General features: G+C 51.7%; 1 protein-coding gene across 4 annotated transcripts in view, besides 4 other annotated features; it reads left to right on the plus strand.

The window, feature by feature from the left end:
* Positions 1-25,445, plus strand: part of FBLN1 (fibulin 1) — a 98,253-nt gene that overhangs the window by 42,229 nt on the left and 30,579 nt on the right. Inside the window, exons 12-15 of one of the 4 annotated variants that reach the window (NM_006485.4) lie at positions 1,974-2,093; positions 3,502-3,633; positions 5,381-5,504; positions 19,773-20,595. In NM_006485.4, coding sequence (NP_006476.3) covers positions 1,974-2,093; positions 3,502-3,633; positions 5,381-5,504; positions 19,773-19,881 — 485 coding nt within the window. In that variant the 3' untranslated portion in view covers positions 19,882-20,595. Of the gene's footprint in view, positions 1-1,973; positions 2,094-3,501; positions 3,634-5,380; positions 5,505-12,959; positions 13,602-17,800; positions 18,252-19,772; positions 20,596-25,445 lie in introns of those variants that run through there. The other 3 variants (NM_001996.4, NM_006487.3, NM_006486.3) reach the window with 3 other exon arrangements.
* Positions 1,424-1,925: an enhancer, noted in NCBI's record as "H3K4me1 hESC enhancer chr22:45942415-45942916 (GRCh37/hg19 assembly coordinates)". NCBI's record gives its function as "activates a minimal SCP1, AML or CMV promoter by ChIP-STARR-seq in naive and primed H9 embryonic stem cells {active_cell/tissue: H9 hESC(naive and primed)}" and the evidence as "EXISTENCE:reporter gene assay evidence [ECO:0000049][PMID:30033119]".
* Positions 1,926-2,425: an enhancer, noted in NCBI's record as "H3K4me1 hESC enhancer chr22:45942917-45943416 (GRCh37/hg19 assembly coordinates)". NCBI's record gives its function as "activates a minimal SCP1, AML or CMV promoter by ChIP-STARR-seq in naive H9 embryonic stem cells {active_cell/tissue: H9 hESC(naive)}" and the evidence as "EXISTENCE:reporter gene assay evidence [ECO:0000049][PMID:30033119]".
* Positions 3,260-4,047: an enhancer, noted in NCBI's record as "H3K4me1 hESC enhancer chr22:45944251-45945038 (GRCh37/hg19 assembly coordinates)". NCBI's record gives its function as "activates a minimal SCP1, AML or CMV promoter by ChIP-STARR-seq in primed H9 embryonic stem cells {active_cell/tissue: H9 hESC(primed)}" and the evidence as "EXISTENCE:reporter gene assay evidence [ECO:0000049][PMID:30033119]".
* Positions 8,736-8,845: an enhancer, noted in NCBI's record as "active region_19228". NCBI's record gives its function as "activates an Ori minimal core promoter by ATAC-STARR-seq in GM12878 lymphoblastoid cells {active_cell/tissue: GM12878}" and the evidence as "EXISTENCE:reporter gene assay evidence [ECO:0000049][PMID:35858748]".

Below are 25,445 nucleotides of genomic sequence, written 5' to 3' on the forward strand. Positions count from 1 at the left end.
GTGGTGTGCATGATTCTCAAATCGGAGGACGGACGGTGTGAGGGGTCCTGGGCTTAGTTCACAAGAACGTGTATGGACAAGGAACAAGATTCACGAGTTGAGTCTCTCAGGCTTGTGTTCAAACCTGACTTCTGCCATTTCCATGGCCTTGAAGAAGTAACTCAGTCTTTCCTGGGCCATGGTGTCCTCATCTGTAAAACGGGCATAGTAGGACCAACCCCATAGGGGGTTGTGAGGATGAAACGAGATTAAGCATGTGAAGAGCTTATCACAGGGCCAAGCACAGGATGAAGAGCTGGCGGTGTGGAGGCTGCTGGCTTTATTATTATTTAGTAGAAGTAGTGGGATTCCTGGCTTGTGCTTCCTCTAGTCATTCATAAATTGCTGAAAAGTCGGCATTCATATCCACATTAGTGGACAATATTGTGGATATAGAACCAGAGCCTGGCCAACCTTGCTATGTGACCTTACTAACCATTTGTTAGGGTCCTGCCCCGGGTGTGTAGCAAGAACTCGGTCCTGCACTGGGGAGTGTCTCTAGCGGGGGATGAGAGACCACACTGGACAGGTGGAGGCCAGGCCTGGTGTGTGGGGGCCACAGAGATGAAACACGGGGTGGAAGGCTATTGGACGTTCTGTGACAGCCACATAGTATAGATTTAAGGCTTTTCCAGCCACAATCTCTGTTGCAACCGCTGAACTCTGCTGTGGTAGCAGAGAAGTGGCCAGAGGACCATGGTAAAAGAATGAGTGTGGCAGGGCACAGTGGCTCACACCTGTAATCCCAGCACTTTGGGAGGCTGAGGCAGGTGGATTACTTGAGGTCAGGAGTTCGAGACCAGTATGGCCAACATCGTGAAACCCTGTGTCTACTAAAAATACAAAAATTAGCCGGGCATGGTGGTGCACACCTGTAATCCCCCAGCTACTCAGGAGGCTGAGGCAGGAGAACTGCTTGAATTCATGTCCACATTTAGTGGACAATAGCCTCCCGGAGGTGGAGATTGCAGTGAGCTGAGATTGAGCTACTTGTACTCCAGCCTGGGCGACAGACAAAGACTTTGTCTCAAAAAAAAAAAGAGTGAATGTGGCTGTATTCTTTATTTTATTGTTATTATTATTTTGAGACGGAGTCTCGCTCTGTCGCCCAGGCTGGAGTGCAGTGGTGTGATCTTGGCTCACTGCAACCTCTGCCTCCTTGTTCAAGCAATTCTCCTGCTTCAGCCTCCCGAGAAGTTGTGACTACAGGTGCGTGCCACCATGCCTGGCTAATTCTTGTATTTTTAGTAGAGATGGGTTTCATCATGCTGGCCAGGCTGGTCTCGAACCCCTGACCTCGTGATCCGCCCACCTCGGCCTCCCGAAGTGCTGGAATTACAGGCATGAGCCACCATGCCTTGCCGGGCTGTGTTCTAATAAAACTTTATTTATAAAAACAAGTGTTGGGACAAATTTGGCCCATAGACTATGATTTGCTGACCTCTGCTTTAGGTAAAGGGGACAGTTGAGCAGTAGTTCAGAGTTGCTGAGTGGCCCAGTGAGTTCTGTGCATTGGAGTATGAGGAGTACTGGCGTATGGGCTGGGTGGCCGAGGACTTCCTTGTGTGCCGTCATCTGTTTAGGATGCCATCTTGGAGGTGAAGTGGAGAGCACAGGATCAGATTTCCATTTGAGAACTAGAATGGACTCTGGCAGCCAGGTCGGGGCAGACTTCCAGGGGCCAAGGCTGGAGGCGATCGCTGCCATCCTGGCAGGAGAAGTTGTGGTCGAAGCAGGCAGGAGCAGGGATGGAGGGTCCGGAGCCACCAGCGATGACGCCTCTCCCTCGGCCACACCCCCCGGGACCTCTGTCTCTCCGAGTGTGTTAACCTGAGGGAGGTGGAGAGGAGATTTTCTGTTCACTGACCCTGAGGGCTACTGTGGAGGCAGGGACGTATGATGCTCTGAGCGGTGACCCTCGTTTTGTATTTCAGACATCAATGAGTGCAGCAGCAGCCCCTGTAGCCAGGAGTGTGCCAACGTCTACGGCTCCTACCAGTGTTACTGCCGGCGAGGCTACCAGCTCAGCGATGTGGATGGAGTCACCTGTGAAGGTGCGGACGCCCCTGCCTGCTGAGGGGGAAAGCACCCCCTGGTCTTGCCATGACACAGCAGCACGGCCTCTGACTTTCAAAATCCACAGGGAAGAGCCTGCTGGGATTTCTTCACCTGACAAACCTTCCATGTCCACCCTTGGAGGCAAGCGGGTGGTTTGCTGTTTTCCCTCCAACTGAGGTTTTTTTTTTTTTTTTTTTTTTTTTTTGAGACACGGTCTTGCTCTGTTGCCCAGGCTGGAGTGATATGGTGCAATCACTGCTCACTGCAGCCTCAGCTTCCCAGGCTCAAGTGATCCTCCCACCTCAGCCTCCCAAGTAGTTGGGACCATAGGTGTATACCACCATGCCTGGCTAATTTTTTATTTTTAAAAAATTAGAGACGGGGCCTTGCTGTGTTGCCCAGGCTGGTCTCGAACTCCGTGGCTCAAGTGATCCTCTTGCTTCAGCCTCCCAAATTGCTGGGATTACAGGCATGAGCCACCGTGCCTGGCCCCCAACTGAAATTCTAATATACTTTTCCCATCCTTAAGCGTGAGGGTGGGAAGGCAGCAAACCACTCCTGACTTGTTCTTTAATAAATGTGCACGGCGGTAATTACAACATGCACTGGGACCTTGGGCCGCATATCTCAGGTCTTGGTGGTGGTGCATGGCTGAGAGGTAAGGAGGGGGCTCAGGGACCACCTATATCCCTGACTCAGAGCTCTAACTCTTCATCTGTAACATGATGATTAACTTCAGCCTCACCAGATCATTGGAGGATTAAACTAGATGACAGCAATTACAGGCAATTAAGGGCAATTACGATGATTACCATTTTCATGTAAGGTGTGTGTGTATTTTGTTTGCTTGTTTGTTTTTGAGACAGAGACAGCTCTGTCACCCAGGTTGGAGGGCAGTGGTACAAACACGGCTCACTGCAGCCTCCATCTCCTGGGATCTAGCAATTCTCCCACCTCTGCCTCCTTGAGTAGCTGGGCCCACAGGCATGCACCAGTATGCCTGACTAACTTTTTTGATTTTTTGTAGACACAGGGTCTCACTTTGTTGCCGAGGCTGGTCTCGAACTCCTGGGCTCAAGTAACCCTCCTGCCTCAGCCTCCCATGCCTGGGATTCCAGGCATGAGCCAGTGCACCCAGCTGAGGTGTGTTTCTTATTATTGAACTGTGGTCCATATTTCCCCCTGCCCGCCACATGCATACTTCACACCATGAACTTGCTGTGTGACCCTAGGCTAGTCCCATCGCCTCTCTGAGCACGATGGTCTCTGAGGCTTCCTGTGTTCAGCTTGTCCTGTGCTGCTGCCCTCCCGGGCCCCAGTGCAGCCCCCAGGGCGATGTAGCATGGCCAGCAGCCATGGCCAGGTGCCAGGACACTGAGGCTGAGGTGGGCTTTGCCGTTGCAGACATCGACGAGTGCGCCCTGCCCACCGGGGGCCACATCTGCTCCTACCGCTGCATCAACATCCCTGGAAGCTTCCAGTGCAGCTGCCCCTCGTCTGGCTACAGGCTGGCCCCCAATGGCCGCAACTGCCAAGGTGAGCAGGAGGGATGCCCTGGGGTCCCTCACGCTCTGCTTGGGGCCCTGCAATGTCGTGGGGCTGAGGCTGGGCTCGGGGGCTGTGCTTCCCCAACCCAAGGGCCACAGCACAGATGGAATGCATTCAGGAAAAGGAGGCCCACCCCATCCAAGGGGTGTCCTGGGGTCTGCAGCACCCTGGTCTCCTACACCCAGGCCCCAGCACACTTGTCCTCTGGATTGTCTGAGCCTGTGGCGGCTGCATCCGGCAGGAACACTTCAGCCCTCCTCCCCTCCCCTCAGCAGCCCCGTAAAGGCTGGAACAGAGGCCTTTAGGAAGATGCCCGCCAGGGAGGAAGCAGTCCAGGCCAGGGGATGGCGTGGCCTGGTGTGGGATGGCCCAGGGATACTCATGGCTATGGGTCAGCTCCAGCATCGGCTAAGTAATGGTGGCCAATGGCATTGGTTCTGCATTCAGCCCCCTTTTCTACGAATGCTCTAGGGGGCAGTGTGTGTCCCCCAGAGCCATCTGATAACCATCCATTCAATCACTGACAGCGGGTGCTGAGTAGATGTTTGTGAGCGCGTGATCCTCAGTGTACACACTGCGCCCAGAAGCTGAGTCATGGAGGTGGGGCTGTCCAGCCAGTTCCTCGGGAGCCCCACACAGGACTGTGGATCCTGGGGCTCTGGAAGCCCCCTGGGTCCCACAGATGTAGCTTCTGGTCATGAGGAAGGTGACTTTGATGAAAGGCAGGCAGGAGCTGCGGTGTTTCCTGGGAGGCCCCCTCCGCTTGCCCTGGGCTCTGGATGGAAGGCTGGTTGTGTCTGCATTTCTGACGGAGCAAATGACTTTTCTCCTGGCCAGGCTCCCTCACCACAGCCTGGGGTCCCGCCCAGACTCAGCATAAACACATTCCTGAGCCGGGCCTTTGAGGCTGGGGAGTGTTGTTTTTGCCACCGATGCTCAGGCATTTGGCACCTCTTAATGGATGTCTCCCAGGGTTGGTGACAGCCCCTGAGCCCCACTGTTTGGCTGCTCCAGAGTCTATGGGAGTTGGGCTGCTCCCCCATCTCCAGGGGCCTCTCAGTGTGGTGCCCCAGGCCCCATCCCAGGAGTCCCAGACCTGGTGGTTCCAGTCCACCCTGAACAGCCACCAACCCCAACACACAGGCAAGACGTATGATCCCTCGAAGGCTGTTTTTCTCATTGTTGTGTGGAGCTAGCAGCTCCTGCCCTTTTCTCCTAAGAGGTTGAGTCACACCTAGGGTAAGGGTGCTGAGCCTCGGGAGCCACAGAGAGGCTCTGGTTAGTTAGTGTATGGACTCTGATGCCAGCCTGCCCGGGTTCAAAGCTCAGCTCTGACATTTATAAAATGTGTGACCTCAGGCAGGTCTCTTAAGCTCTGTGAGCTCCTCATAAAATGAGGATCATAACAGTATCTGCCTCATTGAGTTCTTAGGAGGATTCAGTGACTTATCCTTGCGAGGTACTCCCAGGACCCATCATGTAGTGTTTACTTTTACCATCGTCACGCTCCCTCCAGGGATTGCGAATGATAAGTTAACACTCTATAAATGTAAATACCCTATAAATGTAAGAACTGGCACAGGACGCTGCTCTGAAGATCAGCCAGTGGAGGGCAGGGATGGCCTGATCGCCACCCCTAACCCTAGTTGATGGGAGGCCTGGGCTCCTCCGTCTCCAGATGGGTATGGCTCCTGCAGCCTCTGCCTTCACTGTGCTGCTGTGGGGTCTCTTGCAGACATTGATGAGTGTGTGACTGGCATCCACAACTGCTCCATCAACGAGACCTGCTTCAACATCCAGGGCGGCTTCCGCTGCCTGGCCTTCGAGTGCCCTGAGAACTACCGCCGCTCCGCAGCCACGTAAGTCCCTTGGACCATGCCATCGTCGTCTGTCTGTGTTGGCCTTCCTGGTGACCCAGTTCCCGGGTGGGTGGGTTATCAGGCTGTGACCTCGGTGTCCTCCCATGAGGGACTCAGGGCACTCAAAGATCACCTGATCCCTGGCCCTCAAGCCCCTAAATGCTAGTGACACTGGTCTCGGAAAGTCAAGGGGGTAACTGCAAATGAGTCTGGGGTCTATAGTCATGTTTTCAGGCCAAGGCTGTGCACAGAACCAGGAGAAACCACAGCCCTCTTTTTTCCTAGGGTGGAAGCCTTGGGCAAGCTCTCTGGGCCTCAGTTTCCTCATCTGTAACATGCAGATGTCAGAACGTGCTCTGACTGAGATGCATAGGTAGCAATGTCTCCATGTCAGCCCAAAGCCAGGGAGCCGATGTGACCTGTTGGACGTTGTTGTTAGGTGCCCACCTGAAAGCCAGAATTCGTCCAGCCTGGTGACCGTGTGGGAACGGCATCAAAGATTCCAGATCCTAAACGTGGGGCTGCGTGCCCCTATGTCTTTGTAAGCTCACTCACTCCTAGGCCATCACGGCGCCCACTTGAGACCACGGTTCCCACTTCCTATCCCCCTTGCCCCTAATTGTATTCAGAAAGTCTCATTTAGTGCCACAGTCAGTTGCTTCAGGAAAAGCTCCATGCTGGGACCGATCTCAGGACTGTGGACTTGTGACCTCTCCCAGCACTCTGAGTGCACGATGCAGGCAGCCAGCTGTTTCCGAGGCCTTGGCCCCTTGACCTTCAGCCTGCCTTGGGCTCTTGGCCAGCTGCCCCCGCGACCTGAGGGTCAGTGGTAGTGTCCACCTCTTGACCCTAGGGGCAGCTGCCCTGGCTTGTGGCATAGCAAGGCTTCTGGGTACCCGAGCAGCCCCGTTGTCCCTGGCAGCCCTCCATATTCTTCCTGGCTTTGCGATTCTCATTGGCTGGCCCAGCCATTTCCCTGTTTCCCAGCACGGATTTCTGTCTGCTTGAAAACCCAACATCTTGTTTCCTTCCTGAGCTTGGGTTAGGAAAAAGCTGCCCCAAAACTGGGTTTGCAAGTCTGTAGCATCCCGAAGAGCTCATGGTTATGCAACAGCCTGCCCCAGGCAGTGACACTGCTTCTCTGAGCCATTAAGAAAGTTCGATGGCCTTGGCTGCAGGCTGTGCAGCCGTCTGTCATTGTAAGTTCACTCTCTCCCCAGCCTTTGTCAGCGCCTGGGCTTGAGGATTCCAGGAGGCTGGCTGTGGTTGTGACCTCGATTTCTAACTTGCGCACAGTCGTGAAACCACCTTTCGAAGAGGGGGAGGCTGCCCTGCACAGGGGCCCTGGCGCCTCCTAAGCCTGAGGGTGGGCGGGTTGGCCATGTGTGCTGAGGTCATGGCTGAAATCAGGGGAACCCAGCTCCACCCCTCATGTTGGCTGTGGAAGCCTCTGCCACCCCTCAGTGCTGGAGAAAGTCGTTTCTTCCTGGACCTACTGCGTGCAGGCACCTGGGTAGACAGCCCACAGAGGGCTTTGTCCCCGCACAGGCTCCGCCTTCGGCGTGTGTGCTAGGAGGGAGGAGGGGACCCCACCTGGCTGGGCGTGAGGGTGGGCAGGGGGCTGTCTGGAGTGGGCCATGCCTGCATGGAGGTGGAAGGGGGAGCGAATTAGGCAGAAGCGGCGGGAGTATGGACACATGTGCGGTGAAATGGGGAGTTCAGCCTGAAACCTGGGCCCTGTGTGCTGTGCAGTAAGGGATTGAGCTGCTGGGCGCCTGGCTTGTTCCAGCCCTTGGACTCCCGGGACTGATAGTGAGGAGGGGCCACCCCCTCTCAGCACTGCTAACCCCTCAGACTGGAGTTTTGTATTTTACAGCCCCTTTTCCTGCTCATCAAAAATCGAAGCTGCTTAACACGTTTTTTCATCTAAGCTTCAGAAAGCAATTTTTAAAATCTAAAAGAGCCATATTTAGGAGGGACCCATGGCCGGCGCTTCTGTGGTTAACAACTCAGCAAGAGCGCCTCCTTCGGGAGCCTTGACAGACAGGACTGCAGAGTCCGCTGCTGTGCCTTTCTCTCTCTCTCCACTCAGACGGCTTCCATCTGGGGAACATCCCGGCGGCCGAGGGCTGGTAACTGGAGCATGACCCAGGAAGCTGGGCCGCAAACCACAGGGCTCGGCCTTGTGGACAGGACCAGGCTGTTACAGTCCTGCCCACACAATTCCCTTCTGCCCGCAGGAGGAAGTGTGCAAAGCTGTCCCACAGCCTTCATGGGGCCGGACACATCCTCTTTATCCCCTCAGTGGGGCCGGCGCCTGATGACCTGTGGTCTAGAAAGCTGGAGCAAAGCCGGGTGGCCTTGGTTGCCGCTTCCCGGGGATGGGACACGAGTGAACAGCTGTGGGCCTGAGGGTGTAACACGGTGGACGGTGGCAGAGATAGAGCCGTCGATGGCCCCCCTGCCTTGGCCAGTTCCTGGGGCTTGTCTCCCGGACGACGAGCGTGTGAAAGTCAGGAAAATGCCGGCAGGGATATCCACAAGCACCTGGGGTGGCCAGAACTGCCGTGCCTCCCAGGAGAAGGAGGGGGCCTAGAGGGCCTTTTTTCTCTGGTGTGTGGTGGCTTAGGATCATTTCCATAGAGCTTGAGGTGTTAGGGTCAAATGTGTTGAACTGGCAAGTTGGAGCACATTGTCCTCTAACGCATGACATGGCCCAGGATGGGTGGCCTGCTGAGGGGACATGTCTGGAAACCAGGGCCTGCGTGGCAGGGGGGGACGGGGCGGGCTCGCCTATGCCCTGCTCTGTAATACATTCAGTGATGACAACCCGTCCCTGACCTAGACACACTGGCTAAAAGGGATTTTTGGGCCGTTCCCAGTCTGACAGGCAGTTTGCCAGACAGTTATGTTTCTGGTGTTTTAAAAAGTTTGAGTAGAGCGAAGTACGATCATTGAAGCCAGGACTTACCAGGAAAATCAAGGACATGTTTATTTTTGTGCATTAGTCATTTGCAAAGCACATAGCGGGTGCCCCAGGCCCTGCTCTTTGTCCAGAAGGAGCCAGCCCAGAAACTCCTAGTGTAGAGAAGGTTTTGGGGTGCTCTGAGGAATGACTGTGTGGGGTCGGAGGGGGAGCCTCCAGGGGAGGAGTGACCAGTCGCTGTGTGTGATGACGGCGGGAGCTGCACCAGAACACCACGCACACCTCCCATTGCTTTCCTCCGCTTCCCTCTGGCAAAACAAATTCCATCCCTGGTTAGTACCCGCCATGCTGAGAGAAGCGGGAAGCCGAAATCCCACCAGGGCGACTCTAGCGCCACCTGCTGACCAGCCCCATCCAGGCTGGTCCTGAAGTTGCTGGTGTGTGTGCGTGTGCGCGTGCTTGTGTGTGTGCATACATTGTGTGTGTAAAAGCTTTGAAGTAAGACAGGCCGACTTTGAAAGCCAAGCTTGCCCCTTACGACACACCACGGAGCTATCAGCAAGTTCTGCATCCTCAATGGGCGTCTGTCTTCCAGCCAGTAGAGCGGGAGGACGATGGGAGACAGTGGAGGGAGCGAGTGGAAGGAAAGTCTGCTGCTTGCAGCCTGCTCCCTGCACCCGGAAGCGCAGTTCACCTGCACCCGGAAGCACAGCTCATGGGTCCCATGCTCCTCCCCCAGTTCACGGACGCTTTGGTCATAGCTCCTCAGAGGCCCCCCTGGGGGAGAGCTCTCAGATCGCCTGGAGCACTCCCGTTTGGCCTGGACCTGGGCATCTCTGGGGCAGGCCACCGCCAGCAGCACCCGTGCCCACCTTCTTTCCTGCCTCTGTTTTGGGCCCCTCCCAGGCAGGACTCCCCCGTTCAGTGCCCCTGACTCCCAGGCCAGTCCTTTCTAAGAGCTTGGAATGATCACTAGCCAAGTAAATGCAAGGCCTCCTGTCAGTCCTGACAAACCTGGAAAGAGGAGGTAAAAGGAGACCCCAGTCTCGATAAATGCCTCAAGCAAGTCCAAGTAACCCAGCACGAGACATGGAAACTTAAAAAGCCAAAAGGGAGATGTGATAGAAGGCCAGGACGAGAGGATGCTCCTGACCTCAGAATCCAGACACAGCCCAGATGGCAGGGCTTCCTGGAGCACCTGGGCCAGGTCCTCTGGGGCTCCGCACCTGGGCCCTGCTTCCTCAGGCAGCCACCTTCAGAGTATGATGGGCCAGGAGTTCAGTACACAGGAGACGACCCCTGTCCCATCTTGTGACAAGAAATTAGAACTTGTTACTATCCTGTAGCGGAAGATAATACCGATCTCCATCCTGTCACAGGAGGTTAGAATCTGTAACAGGAAGTTGGAATCTGTGCTCATCCTATACAGGAAGTTAGGACCCGTCCCCGTCTCCACCACAGGAAGTTAGGACCCGTCCCCGTCTCCACCGCAGGAGGTTAGGACCCGTCCCCGTCTCCACCGCAGGAGGTTAGGACCCGTCCCCGTCTCCACCGCAGGAGGTTGGGACCCGTCCCCGTCTCCACCCCAGGAGGTTGGGACCCGTCCGTGTCTCCACCGCAGGAGGTTGGGACCCGTCTCTGTCTCCACCACAAGAAGTTTGGACCTGTATTAGGGTTCTCTAGAGGGACAGAACTAATGGAATATACATATATATATATATATAAAATGGAATATATATATATATATATAAAATGGAATATATATATGGAATATATATATAAAGTGGAGTTTATTAAGGATTAACTCACATGATCACAAGGCCCCACAATAGGCCATCTCCAGGCTGAGGAACAAGGAGAGCAGTCTGAGTCCCAAAAATGAAGAAAAAATGAGTCCAATGTTTGAGGGCAGGAAGCATCCAGCACGGGAGAAAGATGTAGGCTGGGAGGCTAGGCCAGTCTCTCTTTTCACGTTTTTCTGCCTGCTTATGCTGTAGCCGTGCTGGCAGCTGATTAGTTGGTGCCCACCCAGATTAAGGATGGATCTGCCTTTCCCAGCCCACTGACTCAAATGTGAATCTTTTTTGGCAACACCCTCACAGACACACCCAGGATCAATACTTTGTATCCTTCAATCCAATCAAGTTGACACTCAGTATTAACCATCACAAGTCCACCCCTTGTCAACTTGAACCCATGCACATCTCCTGAGATCATACATAATCTTCAAATAAAGACAATAATAAGATCATAATTACACCTAACATAACTATACTTCATACGACCAGAAACTCACCAATCCCCAACCCAAATACTATTATATAAAGTTAACGATACTTAAATGCTGATGTGAATTCAATAAATCTTATGTCACTTGATAAAAGAGAAAGGAAATAAAATGAAGTCATTTTTGTTAGTACAAGTGTATACATGCACAAACATTTTTGATTGTTTTTTGTTTGTGTGTTTTTTAAGACAGAGTCTCCCTCTGTTGCCGAGGCTGAAGTGTGGTGGTGTGATTTTGTCTCACCGCAACCTCCACGTCCCGAGTTCAAGTGATTATCCTGCCTCAGCCTCCTGAGTAGCTGAGATTACAGGTGTGCACCACCATACCCAGCTAATTTTTCTATTTTAAGTAGAGATGGGGTTTCACCATGTGGGTCAGGCTGGTCTTGAGCTCCTGACCTCAAGTGATCCTCCCGCCTCGGCCTCCCAAAATGCTGGGATTACAGTCGTGAGCCACAGCACCTGGCCATGTTTTTAAAAGAAGGAGGAAATACTCACGACAATTACAGTCCTCGTTTCTGCAACTGGTCACATGGCTCGTAGCTGGTATTGATGACTGCCTTCTTCTACTACCCATTCTGTATTCCCTTTGCCTTCAGCAAGCACCTTGGCAGATCTTGTTTTTTTTTTTTCCTGGTGGAGTGACCCAAACCTTCATTCCTGAAGGGTCTGGGTCATTTGTAGTCCTGCCTGGATTGGGCTGTTGTAGTTTCCCATTGACCTTAATCACAGGGCATGGTAATACTGAGAGATGCCCTAATGGATCTCCTGTATTCCATGCATACTCTAACTTATCTTCATTTTGGAGTAGTAGACTGATTTCATCTTGATAGTCTGGGTCAGCCACCCCAGCCAACACTGTAACTCCCTTCTTAGCCTGTTGACTTAAAGGTAGGAGGAGCTTCAAGTGTCCAGGTGGCAATCTTAATTTCCAGTTTAATGGAATCCTTGTTCTGTCTCCTGGTGGCGGCGTTCCTCCCTCTGGAACTAAGACCTCTAGGCCAGCAGAACGTAATGTTGCAGGAACAGGAAGCAAAAATTTTGCTAGTGGATCACTAGGGGTGATGGTGAGTGGTGCCACTTCCATTTCCACCCTTGGATGCCTGGACCCGTGAATCCTGGCTATGGGAGAAACAGTGCCATAATATTGGACCCTGATTCAGAGCATACATGGCCTTCTGTAGAACTTTGTCCCAGCCCTGCAAAGTACTGTCACCTAGTTGGCATTGTAATTGTGACTTCAAAAGGCCATTCCACTATCCTATCAATCTACCTGCTTCACGACGATGGGGAACATGGTAAAACCAGTGAATTCCATGAGCATGAGCCCACTGCCACACCTCTTTAGCAGTAAAGTGAGTGCTTTGGTCAGAGGCAATGCTGTGTGGAATACCATGAGGGTGGATAAGGCATTCTGTGAACCCACGGATGGTAGTCTTGGCAGAAGCATCGTGTGCAGGATAGGCAAACCCATATCCAGAGTAAGTGTCTATTCCGGTGAGGACAAACCTCTGCCATTTCCATGATGGAAGAGGTCCAGTATAATCAACCTGCCACCAGGTAGCTGGCTGATCACCCCGAGGCATGGTGCCACATCGAGGGCTCAGTGTTGGTCTCTGCTACTGGCGAATTGGGTACTCAGCAGTGGCCATATCCAGGTCAGCCTTGGTGAGTGGAAGTCCATGTTGCTGAGCCCATGTGTAACCTCCATCCCTGCCACCATGGCCACTTTGTTCATGGGTCCATTGGGCAATGACAGGGGTGGCTGGGGAAAGAGGCCGAGTGGTGTCCACAGAATGAATCATCCTATCCACTTGATTATTAAAATCCTCCTCTGCTGAGCTCTTTTATGTGATATGGTGAGCACTCTCATGTGATACAAATATCTTCACAGTTTTTGACCACTCAGAGAGGTCTATCCACATACCTCTTCCCCAAATTTCATTGTCATCAATTTTCCAATCATGCTTCTTCCAAGTCCCTGACCATCCAGCCAAACCATTGGCCACAGCCCATGAATCAGTATGTAATCGCACATCTGGTCATTTCTCCTTCCATGCAAAGTGCACAACCAGGTGCATTGCTTGAAGTTCTGCCCACTGGGAAGATTTCCCTTTGCCACTGTCCTTCAGGGATGTCCTAGAAAGGGGCAGTAGTGCTGCAGCTGTCCACTTTCGGGTGGTGCCTGCATATCGTGCAGAATGATCTGTGAACCAGGCCCTAGTCTTCTCTTCCTCTGTCAGATGATCGTAGGGAACTCTGCATGAGGCCATCGGTGCAGGCTGGAGAAGAGAAGGCAAGTTGGCAGGAGTGGAGACCACGGGCATTTGAGCCACTTCCTCATGTAACTTAACTTGTGCCTTCAGGACCTGCTCAAGCCCGATCACGTATATACCACTTCCATTTGATGATGGAATGCTGCTGTTCATGACCAACTTTATGGCTAGATGGGTCAGAAAGCACCCAGTTCATGATAGGCAGTTCAGGTCATATGGTGACTTGATGACCCAGAGTCAAACATTCAGTTTCCACCAAAGCCCAGTAACAGGCCAAGAGCTGTCTCTCAAAAGGAGAGTAGTTATCTGCAGAAGATGGCAGGGCCTTGCTCCGAAAGCCTAGAGACCGCCACTGTGATTCACCTATGGGGGCCTGCCAAAGGCTGCAGCCAGCATCCTTATCTGCCACTGACACCTCAAGCAACATTGGATCTGCTGGGTCATATGGCCCAAGTGGCAGAGCAACTTGCACAACAGCCTGGACCTGTCATAGAGCTTTCTCCTGTTCTGGACCCCACTCAAAACTGGCAGCCTTTCAGGTCACTCGATAAATGTGCTGGAGTAACACTCAAACGAGGAATGTGTTGCCTCCAAAATCCAATAGGCCCACTAGGCGTTGTGTCTCTTTCTTGGTTGTAGGTGGGGCCAAATGCAGGCAACTTATCCTTCACCTTGGAATATCTCGACAGGCCCCAAACCACTGGACCCCTAGAAATTTTACTGAGGTAGAAGGTCCCTGAATTTTATTATCAGATTTATTTTCCATCCTCTGGCATGCAAATGTCTCACTAATAAGTCCAGTGTGTTTGCTACTTCTCACTTACTGGATCCAATCAGCATAATGTCACCAATTTAATGGACCAGCGTGATATCTTGCAGAAGCGAAATGCGATCAAGGTCTCTCCGAATAAGATTATGACATGAATAAGATTATGACACAAAGCCGGAGAGTTGATACACCCCTGAGGTATGACAGTGAAGGTATATTGCTGGCCTTGCCAGCTGAAGACAAATTGCTTCTGGTGGGCCTTGGAACAGGAATGGAGAAAAAGGCATTTGTCAAGTCAGTGGCTACATACCAGGTACCAAGAGATATGGTAATTTGCTCAAGCAATGAAACCACATCTGGTACAGCAGCTGCAAATTGGAGTCACCACTTGGTTAAACTTACGATAATCCGCTGCCGTTCACCAAGATCCATCTGTCTTCTGCACAGGCCAAATGGGAGAGTTGAACCGGGATGTGGTGGGAATCACCACCCCGCGTCTCAAGTTTTTGATGGTGACACTAATCTCTGCAATCCCTCCGGGAATACGATATTGTTTTTGATTTACTGTTTTTCTAGGTAGAGGCAGCTCTCATGGCTTCCATTTGGCCTTTCCAACCATAAAAGCCCTCACCCTACCAGTCAGGGAGCCAGTGTGGGGGTTCTGCCAGCTGCTAAGTATGTCTCTGCCAATTCTGCATTCTGGCACTGGGAAAATGACCACAGGATGAGTCCGGGGACCCACTGGACCCACTGTAAGTCAGACCTGAGCTAAAACTCCATTAATTACCTGACCTCCTTAAGCCCCTATTTAACTGGAGGGCCACAATGACGTTTTGGGTCCCCTGGAATCAACCTCAGCTCAGAATCAGTGTCCAATAGTCCCCAAAATGTCTGATCATTTCCCTTTCCCCAATGCAGTTACTCTGGTAAAAGGCCAGAGGTCTCTTTGGGGAAGGATGGGAGAAAGATTCACTGCATAAATTGTCAGTAATGTAGTGGGGTCCTTCCTCAAGAGGACCCGCCTCCCCTTCATTCAAGGGGTTCTGGGTCTGTAAACTGGTTCAAGTCTGGAAATTGATTGAGGGGCCGTGATTCTCTTTTTTTGTAATTCAAATTAGTCTTTTGTCCACTTGATCTAGAAGTTTTCGGCTTATACAAATCAAGTAGGAATGCAGTAGGCTTCCTATCAATTTCACTTCTAGGAACACTGTGATTAATTAGCCAATGCCAGAGCTCTACACGAGACAGACTATTCTGATTGCTGCTTTGCCTCTGCTGTCCATTACAGAAGCTACACCCACCTTGCCTTTGATGGTTGAGTGCTGTCACTTGGCCACTGCCACCTCAGGATCCAATTATTTCCATTGTATTTAAATTTTGTAGTTGAGTGACTGTGGTTCCCACTGTTAGATCTGACATACCAAGACGAGCAATTACAGGGCTCTTCAAAGATGCAGGTGCTGCCCTCACAAATCTGTTTCGAAAGACATTGGTCAAGGGTATATCTTCTGAATCCTCCCAACTTGGTTGAGTAGGTCTAAAGTGACTAATCCACTCCACCATCCCAATCTCCCTAAGTCTTTGGATTCCTTCCTCTACATTAAACCAAGGAAGACCAAGCATTTCCAGCTTGCTCACAGTGGGCCATCTCTTCATCCGTATTTCAGCTAAACCAGCAAATAAACTATTAGAACCTTTTTTAACTCCCCGAGTTGCAACATTAAATGCAGAGTCCCTGCTTAGTGGGCCTAAATCTGTAAATTCAGCCTAATCCAACGCTATGTTCCTTCCACCATTCTCCGACACCCTTAATATCCATTCTCATGCCCGTTCTCCAGATTAGTTTCTATAAATTAGAAAACTCAAGCAGTTCTTTTCGAGTGTAGCTCACTTCCTCATGGGTCACACTCTCAACCTCATCTCTAGGGGCCCGCCAGGACTTTAGTCTAGTTATAGGTCTAGAGGCAAACAGGGGTGTTAGGGGTGGCTCCTGAGGAGAATCAACATTATCTTGCCTGGCAACTGCCTCACAGGAGGCCATCACTGTTGCCTCAGGCAGCGTGGGGTTTATCTCCTTAGACAAAGGTGGAAAGGCTGATGGGTCGGGGCGGGGATGTTGCCACTACTGGGGATGGGGAAGCTGTTAAGCTGTTTCTTCTGGCAAAAAAGATTCATCAGAGTTTATAAACTCAGTGTCCCCAGCTTCATCAGGCTCCTCCCACATGTCCCCATTCCAAGTTGCAGGGTCCCATTCTTTTTCAATCAATGCCCTCACTTTAACAGCAGACACCTGGCGAGGCTGTGCATGCATCTTTCATTGCAGGTCAGCCACTCGCATGATAAGAGCTTGTGTCTGTTTTTCCACAATTTCAGCTCTTCCTCTACAGGAGATAAGACTCTCACTCAGGGCAATCTTAGCAGATTTGAGGCTCAGTATCTGCTTCTGAAGCTGGGAGATGGAATCCCTGAGTTCATAATTTTCTTTCATCACTTTGTCCACTAAACTTAGGAGCAACCAACCAGCTTCATTATGTTCCTTGGTTCTCCACATATGATCAAAGATATTATGTATAGAGTCACTAAACTTGCCTCATGAGCGATGAATCAGGAGTTTCAAATGCGTTTATTTTTCATAACTCTCTAAACAGTTCATGCCAAGGACTATCAGTGTTCTCCATACTATTAGAAGTGGAGTCCTTAGCATTTTTGGATCTAATCGTTAACCAGCCAACCCCAGAAACCCCAAAACCAATGAAAGAACTCCATCTTTAATATTCTCTTCCTCTAGAACCACTCCTGGTACCAAAATCTGTAGTAGTTAGGGTTCTCTAGAGGGACAGAACTAACGGAATACATATGTATAATGGAGAGTTTATTAAGCATTAACTCACACGATCACAAGGTCCCACAATAGGCCATCTGAAGGCTGAGGAGCAAGGAGAGCCAGTCCGAGTCCCAAAACTGAAGAACTTGGAGTCCGATGTTCAAGGGCAGGAAGCATCCAGCACAGGAGAAAGATGTAGGCTGGGAGGCTAGGCCAGTCTCTCCTATCACATTTTTCTGCCTGCTTATAGTCTAGCCGTGCTGGCAGCTGATTAGATTGTGCCCACCCAGATTAAGGGTGGGTCTGCCTTTCCCAGCCCACTGACTCAAATGTGACTCTCTTTTGGCAACACCCTCACAGACACACCCAGGATCAATACTTTGTATCCTTCAATCCAATCAAGTTGACACTATTAACCATCACAGGACCTGTCCCCGTCTCCACTGCAGGAAGTTAGGACCCATCCCTGTCTCCACCCAGGAAGTTAGGACCTGTCTCTGTTTCTATCACAGGAAGTTGGGATCTGGCCCTGTGGACCCAGATGGGTTACTGAGCTTGGAACACGAGGGCTTAGTGACAAGGAACTGGGAACTGACCTCAATGGCTGAGTAGCGATATGGCTCCCTCACTCACTCTGTGACCTTGGGAAGTGGGAAGGCCACATTCTCTCTGAGCCTCAGTGTCCTCATGTGAAAAATATCACCGAAGCCACTGTCATGGGGTGGTGGCAGTGATCACACTAGAGAGTGCATGGTGAGGAAGAGCTGAGCACTTGGTAAACGGCAGCAGCTCTGATTGCTAGTGGCAGAGATAGTCATTTCATGGGTCACCTCCGAGACACAACCAAGAGCCCTGCGTAGCCCTGGCCACTGTCTGGGCAAGGGCCTGGGAAGGGCAGGGTGTGCCTGGGGAGTGCCCCTGGGGTGGGGCTCTGCCAGTGAGCAGGGGACGCACCTCACTCCGGGCACAGCCTTTGGCCCCCGGCCACCCAGCGCCCGAGATGGTGTTGGAAGAGGCTAGTGCCTGAATCAGCAGCCTGGAGGTCCACGGCGCCTCCCGCAGGTGAGTGAGGTGTGCCCTTCGTGTTGGCTGAATCGGCCAGAGGGGCGGCGGGAGGCCCCGCCTGCCAGCCCCGCATCCCCGCGCTCTGCCGTTTCTCCGCTTGCTGGACCGGCCCTAACCCTCTTCTTGTCTCTCTGCCCACTTTTCTTGCAGCCGCTGTGAGCGCTTGCCTTGCCATGAGAATCGGGAGTGCTCCAAGCTGCCTCTGAGAATAACCTACTACCACCTCTCTTTCCCCACCAACATCCAAGCGCCCGCGGTGGTTTTCCGCATGGGCCCCTCCAGTGCTGTCCCCGGGGACAGCATGCAGCTGGCCATCACCGGCGGCAATGAGGAGGGCTTTTTCACCACCCGGAAGGTGAGCCCCCACAGTGGGGTGGTGGCCCTCACCAAGCCTGTCCCCGAGCCCAGGGACTTGCTCCTGACCGTCAAGATGGATCTCTCTCGCCACGGCACCGTCAGCTCCTTTGTGGCCAAGCTTTTCATCTTTGTGTCTGCAGAGCTCTGAGCACTCGCTTCGCGTCGCGGGGTCTCCCTCCTGTTGCTTTCCTAACCCTGCCCTCCGGGGCGTTAATAAAGTCTTAGCAAGCGTCCCACACAGTGAGCCTCGCGTGCCTTGGTTTTATTTGGCATGGTTGGGAGTCTGTGCCGCTTGTTACCCGGGGGTGAGCTGGGCACTGGCCACCGCCTGGTACCCCCGAGGGCTGACTGAGGAGCGCTCCCCACTAGAGGGTGTGTGCTCGGGGGTCCCTGTTCACAGAGCCCACTGTCTGTGCCGACAGGGAGGCCAGGCCGGGTACATCATTTCACATGTGTTAACTTGTCTTCATTTGTGTTGAACCCAAAGAATAAAGGTGGTGGTGGAGAAGGGCCCTCAGATTGCTGAGCACAGTCCCCTCTCGTTTTACAGATGTGGAAACTGAGGCCCAGAGAGAAGGGGAAGGGTTGGCCAGGGTCGTCTGGCCTGCTGTGGCCATGCCAGGTCAAGGAAGCGGGTCTGCTGGCCCCTGCCTGGTTCTTTGCTGTATCCCCGGAGGTGAGCATTTCACTGAGACAAGAAAGCTCTCTCCTGAGATTCAAGCCTCCTCTTCTGTTTGTCTTGATCAGAAGCCCAAATCTGTGGTGCAGAAACACGGGATGCGGTTGCGGCTCCTAGGATGCAGCTCTTGCCTCAGTGAAGTCGTTTTGCCCCCACTGAGGATCCTGGCCCTGTGCCGGGGGGAGGCAAAGGACCACACAATACATGTGATACTCACGGGATCCTTCATAGGCCTTACACCAGTCCTGCCAGGCAGGTGGTCATCCTCATGAAGACTCAGAGAGGGCAAGTGATTTGCCCAAGATCACACAGCTGGTATCCGAGCCCTGGTTTACTGACTCCACAGATCTGGCTGTTGCGTTCTGCCAGAATACCTCCACTGAGGGCCTTAACCCCCTGCCTCCCTCCATCTCCTCCACCATGGTCCAGCCAAGCCAGTCATCTGTCCCCCTCTGCTGCTCCCAGCGTCCATTCACCTCCCCTACAGCTCATTCTTTGCTTAGCAGCTGGAGTGATCTTTTAGCCTCTGCCTAAAACCGTTCCTGGCTTCCTTACCATTTGGGTTAAGGCCTCCAGATCCTCAAGATGTCTGAAGGCCGTGCCTAATTTAGTCCTTGCATGCAATTTCCAGCCTGGCCTCAACTTGTTCTATCCTTGCCCACTTCCCTTGAGCCACGCTGCAAGCTCTGCTGCCTCCGGCCCTTGGTACGTGCTTTGCACCCTTGGCCTGAATGTTGCTTAAACTCCAGCTCATGTGCCTGCCTCAGAGAGGCCTTCCCTGCCACCCCTGGCTTCTGTTTTCTCTGTCCGTCCTTCTCATGACCCCTTTCCTTCATGGTGCTTGTAACAGGCTGCGGTTCCTGTTGACTCGCGTTTCACATTTGTCTTCCGCACCTTCCAGAAGGCTCTGTGAAGGCAGGGACCAGGTCTATCTCATTCAGTGCGGTGTTCCCAGCTCCTTGCAAGACATCTCGCGTGCAGAAGGTGCTCTGTCAATGTCTGTTCAGGGAACAGATGACTCTGCCAGCCCTGGCTTATGTCACTAGCATTTCTGTGGCTGTGACACTGTGCTGACACTGTTTCCAGGCAGAAATCCAAGAAGGGAAGGCAGAACACCCCAGCGGGATCAAGTAAAGAGGACTGCAGGGTTCTTCCATGGAAGCAGGGGTTGGAGGATACCCACCTTGATGCCTAGTGAGGAAGATGGACCTGGACAGACAGTCAGCTCCACACCTTGCGCTGAGCAGCTGTGATTGTGCCACGGGAGCATGAGCCCTTTTCCCCACGGCCCTTGCCACTGTCTCCTGGCCCTCTCTCTGATCATGCCAGGTTTGCACCAGCCTCGAGTCTCCCATGTTGTAGTACATTCTCCAAGATGCAGCCCAGGAGCCTCTCTGAAGGACCAGTCTGGTTACGATGGTCTGAGCTTCCTTAGAACCTTCCATGGTTGTCTTTTCCCAGCAGATGAAGCATAGCCTCCTTGGAATGGCATGGGAGGCCTGGCCTGATCTGGCCTCTGCCCACCCTTTGAGCTGCACCTGCCCCACCCCAGCTCATCCATGTGCTTGTACCCTGGCCCCACGGGGAGGCTTGCCCTTCCCTGAATCTGCCTTCTTGTGGCTTTAGCATGTGCCATGCTGTCCCCCTGCAGACTGCCATTCTCCTTGCAGACTTGGCTCAGAAGTCACCTCCTCAGTGCAGTTAGCCTGAGCTCCCCTGGCCCCAGGTGCCTCCATCAGAGCATTTACCCCATTGTGTTGTGGCTGTTCCTTAACGTCCCCACTAGCCAGGCTCTTTGAGGGCAGGGATTGTGTCTGGTTAATTTCTGTATTCTCTGCAACTTTGCAATGTTTGGCTTGAAGAAGGAGCTCAGTAAACATCTGAATAAACATGCAGGTTGATGGATGGATGGACAGACCAATGGATGGATGGATGGATGGATGGATAGCATTTTTAAGGCTTAGTTCAAATATCGTCTCCTCAGCCAGGTGTGGTGGCTCACGCCTGTAATCCCAGCACTTTGGGAGGCCGAAGCAGGCAGATCAGCTGAGGTCGGGAGTTTGAGACCAGCCTGGCCAACATGGAGAAACCCCGTCTCTACCAAAAATACAAAAATTAGCTGGGTATGGTGGCAGGCACCTGTAATCCCAGCTACTCAGGAGGCTGAGGCAGGAGAGTCGCTTGAGCCCAGGAGGCAGAGATTGCAGTGAGCTGAGATCGGAGTATGGCACACCAGCCTGGGCAAGAAGAGTGAGACTCTGTCTCAAAAAAATAAGTAAAAATTGTCTCCTCTGTTTAGCCAGCAAGCCACAGCAGGGGTTCTTGTCCTATTCAGGCATCCATTTGTCAGGGGCGGGATTACTCAGGCTGGAAGGAACACCTGTGCCTTCATGTGCATAGCAATGTGAAGAGGTGGGGGAAACCTCTCAGGGGCTTTGGAGGCTACCCAGTGACCTTCCACAGCTTGCCAGAAGCTCCTCTGCAACATTCCCACCAAGGGACTCTTCTTTGCTTGTGGAACTCCCTGCCTCCTGAGGGGTCCCGTTGCATTTTGGGATCCCATCGACGTTTGCGTGTGTGCCTGAGTGCACTGTGGGAGTGACAGCTGAGTGACCTGAGTGCTCACCCCTGTCCCGCAGCTCCTTGGGGCTCCTTAGCCATGTTCTCGGCTCATGCTGCTGACAGAGGACACCATGCAGGAAAAGCAAAATAAGAGCAGGAGGTTGAATTTCCTTCTTGCCATTTACTAGTTCTGTGACCCTGGATACATCGTCAGCCTTTCAGAGCCTCAAGGCCCACCTTATGGTTGATTTTGAAGATGGCCTGAAATAGTCCAGCAGGCAGCGCCTGATACAGAGTAAACACTCCATAGGTGTGAGTGTGGGTTTCTTCATTCATTGGAAGGTAACTGGGTGTTCGTGTGGCTTTTCATTGAAATGGGGATGAAGATTCAGAGAGTTTGGAGGGATCCAAGGTCATATGTGGAGCTGACATCACTTTTGATTCAGAACCTGTGCTTTCCTGGTTGTGTCACTAGTAAATCAAGCTCCCAAGGAGAAAAGACAGCAATAAGGGTGATTTTTATTGTAATGATAATAATAACAACTCCAACAGCTAACACATAGAGTGCTGACCATGAGACAGGCGCTGTTCCAAGCATGTAATTCGTTTACTCTTCACAGCAGCCTAGGGAAGCAAGCAGTGCTAATATCCCCATTCCACAGTGAGGACAGGGAGGCACAGAAAGGTGAAGGAACTTGCCCAAAGTTCCACAGCTGGTTTCCAGTGGCACTGGGATTCAGACGCAGGCAGCCTGGGCTGGGATCTGTGCTCTGATCCCCTGTCCTCCACTGCAGCAAATACGGGGGAGAGGCAGCATCCCTGGGATGAATGAGACTGTTGCTCCAGCCCCATCTCACAGAGCCCGCTCTGCCATTCCCAAACTCAAAACAGGATATCTTATTAGCTAAAGGAGGAGGCAGTGTGGTAAGGAGGAAAGGGCTATGAGGCTGGAATGAAATAAGATATGCAAAATGGGCCAGGTGCGGTGGCTCATGCCTGTAATCCCAGCACTTTGGGAGGCCAAGGCAGGCAGACCACTGAAGGTCGGGAGTTCAAGACCAGCCTGGCCAACATGATGAAACCCCGTCTTTACCAAAAATACAACAATTAGCTGGTCGTGGTGGTACACACCTGTAATCTCAGCTGCTCAGGAGGCTGAGGCAGGAGAACTGCTTGAACCTGGAATACAGAGATTCCAGTGAGCCAAGATTGTGCCACCACACTCCAGCCTGGGCGATAGAGTGAGACTTTGTCTCAGAAAAAAGATATGCAAAACGTGTAGCGTAGAGACTGGAAAGGCAGATGCATTATTTCTGAAGCTCTCTAGATCCCAACCAAAAAACACCCAGACAACTAGATAGGAAAAAAAATGTTTCCATGGAAAACATTTACAAACGAAACAAGGTATGGTTGTCTGCAGTTCAGGCCCACCTGCATGACTTTGGCATCTGTGCAGGAAAAAACAGTGGCAGAACCCCAAAATAATCAACAGGTATCCCCAGAAAGTGTACTAGGTGCTTTGGGGGAACAGCAGCTGAAACTGGGAGGCGTTTTCCTCACTCCAGGGGCCAGAGTGTGCACAGAGCCAGTGGGAGGGAGGAAGGGGCTGGCGCAGGCTTGCTCTTGGGAGCTTTTGAAACTTAGCCACCACAGCTCTCCCTAAGGTCAGAGTCTCACACGAGGGAGAGACTGCTGGAAATGGAACAGAAATTGTGTAGAAAAGAGACCATAGAGACTGTGGGAAGAGAAGGTCCGGGTAAATGTGGAAGAATGTCAGGAGGTGAGCTCTGCAAAGTCAGGAAGATAACTGTGAATGATACTCTTTCTCAAATTCCAGGAAAACTAGTTTCCTTTAAGGATGATCAACCCAAAAGCATCAAGGTCAAATTCCATGGATGAGTTTCTATAACAAAGTACCATAGACTGGGTGGCTTAAAATAATAGAAATGTATTACTTCATGGTTCTGGAGGCCAGAAGTCCAAAATCAAGGTGTCAGCAGGGCTGCACTTCCTCTGAAACCTCTAGGGGAATGCCTCTTCTGTAGGGGAGTGCTCTTTCTGTAGGGGAGTGCTCCTTCTGTAGGGGAGTGCTCCTTCTGTAGGGGAGTGCTCCTTCTGTAGGGGAATGCCTCTTCTGTAGGGGAGTGCTCCTTCTGTAGGGGAATGCCTCTTCTGTAGGGGAATGCTCCTTCTGTAGGGCATGCTCCTTCTGTAGGAGAATGCTCCTGTAGGGGAATGCTCCTTCTGTAAGGGAATGCTCCTCCTGTAAGGGAATGCCTCTTCTGTGGGAGAATGCTCCTTCTGTAGGGGAATGCCTCTTCTGTAGGGGAATGCTCCTTCTGTAGGGGAGTGCTCCTTCTGTAGGAGAATGCTCCTGTAGGGGACTTCTGTAGGGGAGTGCTCCTTCTGTAAGGGAATGCTCCTCCTGTAAGGGAATGCCTCTTCTGTAGGGGAATGCTCCTCCTGTAAGGGAATGCCTCTTCTGTGGGAGAATGCTCCTTCTGTAGGAGCATGACTTGTCTCAGCCCCTGGTGGTTTGTTGGTGATCATTGGTGTTCCTTGGCTCGCAGCTACATCGCTGCAATCTCTGCCTTTGTCATCACATGATCTTGTGTGTCTTTGTCGTCACATAGCCCTCTTCTTATAAGGATAACGGTCATCTTGGATCAGGGCCCACCCTACTCCAGTGTGACCTCATCTTAACTGATTACATCTGCAATGACCGTAGTTTCCAGTGACGTCACATTCTGAGGTACTGGGGATGGAACTTTGACATCTTTCTTGGAAGGATGTAATGCAAACCATGACACCCATAGAAAGTGTTAGGGGCTGAATTGTGTCCCCCCCCAAATTCATATGTTGAATTCCTAATCCCTAATACCTCTAAAGTCCCTATCTCCAAATGCAGTCACATTCAACGAGGTAATTAAGGTAAAAGTGAGATCATATGAATGGGCCCTAATCCAATACAGCAGGAGTTCTTATAAGAAGGGATTAGGGACCAGGTGTGGTGGCTCACGCCTGTAATCCCAGCACTTTGGGAGGCCAAGGTGGGCAGATCACAAGGTCAAGAGTTCGAGACCAGCCTGGTCCACATGGTGAAACCACACCTCTACTAAGAATACAAAAATTAGCCGGGTGTGGTGGCATGTGCCTGTAATCTCAGCGACTTGGGAGGCTGAGGCAGGAGAATCGCTTGAACCCAGGAGGCGGAGGTTGCAGTGAGCCGAGATCATGCCACTGTACTCCAGCCTGGGTGACAGGGCAAGACTCTGTCTCAAAAAAGAAGAAGAAGAAGAAGAAGAAGAAGAAGAAGAAGAAGAGATTAGGAAACAGACATGCACAGAGGGAAGACCATGTGAGGAGGACACAGGGAGAAGTCAGACTTCTACAAGCCAAAGAGAGAGGCCTCAGAAAGAACCAAACCTGCCAACACCTTGATCTTGGACTTTCAGCCTTCAGAACCATGAGACAATCCATTTCTCTTGGTTAGGCCACCCAGTCTGTTGTATAGCAAACAAATGCACAGCTATTATAAGCAAAAAAGAGAATAAGAGACAGAATGATATCCCTCTGGGTAATGAAAGCACACCAGAAAGACGTGCCCAGACTAAATGAAAATTCTAATATTCTATCTTGAAAGAAACCAAAAGTGTTAAGAAAATAAACAAAACATAGAAGAAAAATGGGGCCGGGTGCCCTGTAATCCCAGCATTTTGGGAGGCTGAGGCAGGTGGATCACCTGAGGTCAGGAGTTCGAGACCACCCTGGCCAACATGGTGAAACCCCATCTCTACTAAAAATACAAAAATTAGCCAGGCATGGTGGCAGGTGCCTGTAATCCCAGCTACTCAGGAGGCTGAGGCAGGAGAATCACTTGAACCAGGGAGGCAGAGGTTGCAGTGAGCCAAGATTGTGCCATTGCCCTCTGGCCTGGGTGACAGAGCGAGACTCTGTCTCAAAAAAAAAAAAAAAAAAAAGAAAAGAAAAGAAAAGAAAAAAAAAAGAAAAAGAAAAAAAGAAAGAAAGAAAGGAAAATAGAAAAATCGAGTCAGAATTAGAAGAAAACTGAGAAATGAAGTAATAGACCAAAGAAACAAAAAGTTAAAAATTTCAGATGTAAATACTAAACTAGATGGAACACAAAAGTGAATAAACAGATAAATAGAAGTTGAAAAGAACAACAAGTTTTAAAAA

Source organism: Homo sapiens, chromosome 22 (genome assembly GCF_000001405.40).
Source record: "Homo sapiens chromosome 22, GRCh38.p14 Primary Assembly".
NCBI lineage: Eukaryota > Metazoa > Chordata > Mammalia > Primates > Hominidae > Homo > Homo sapiens.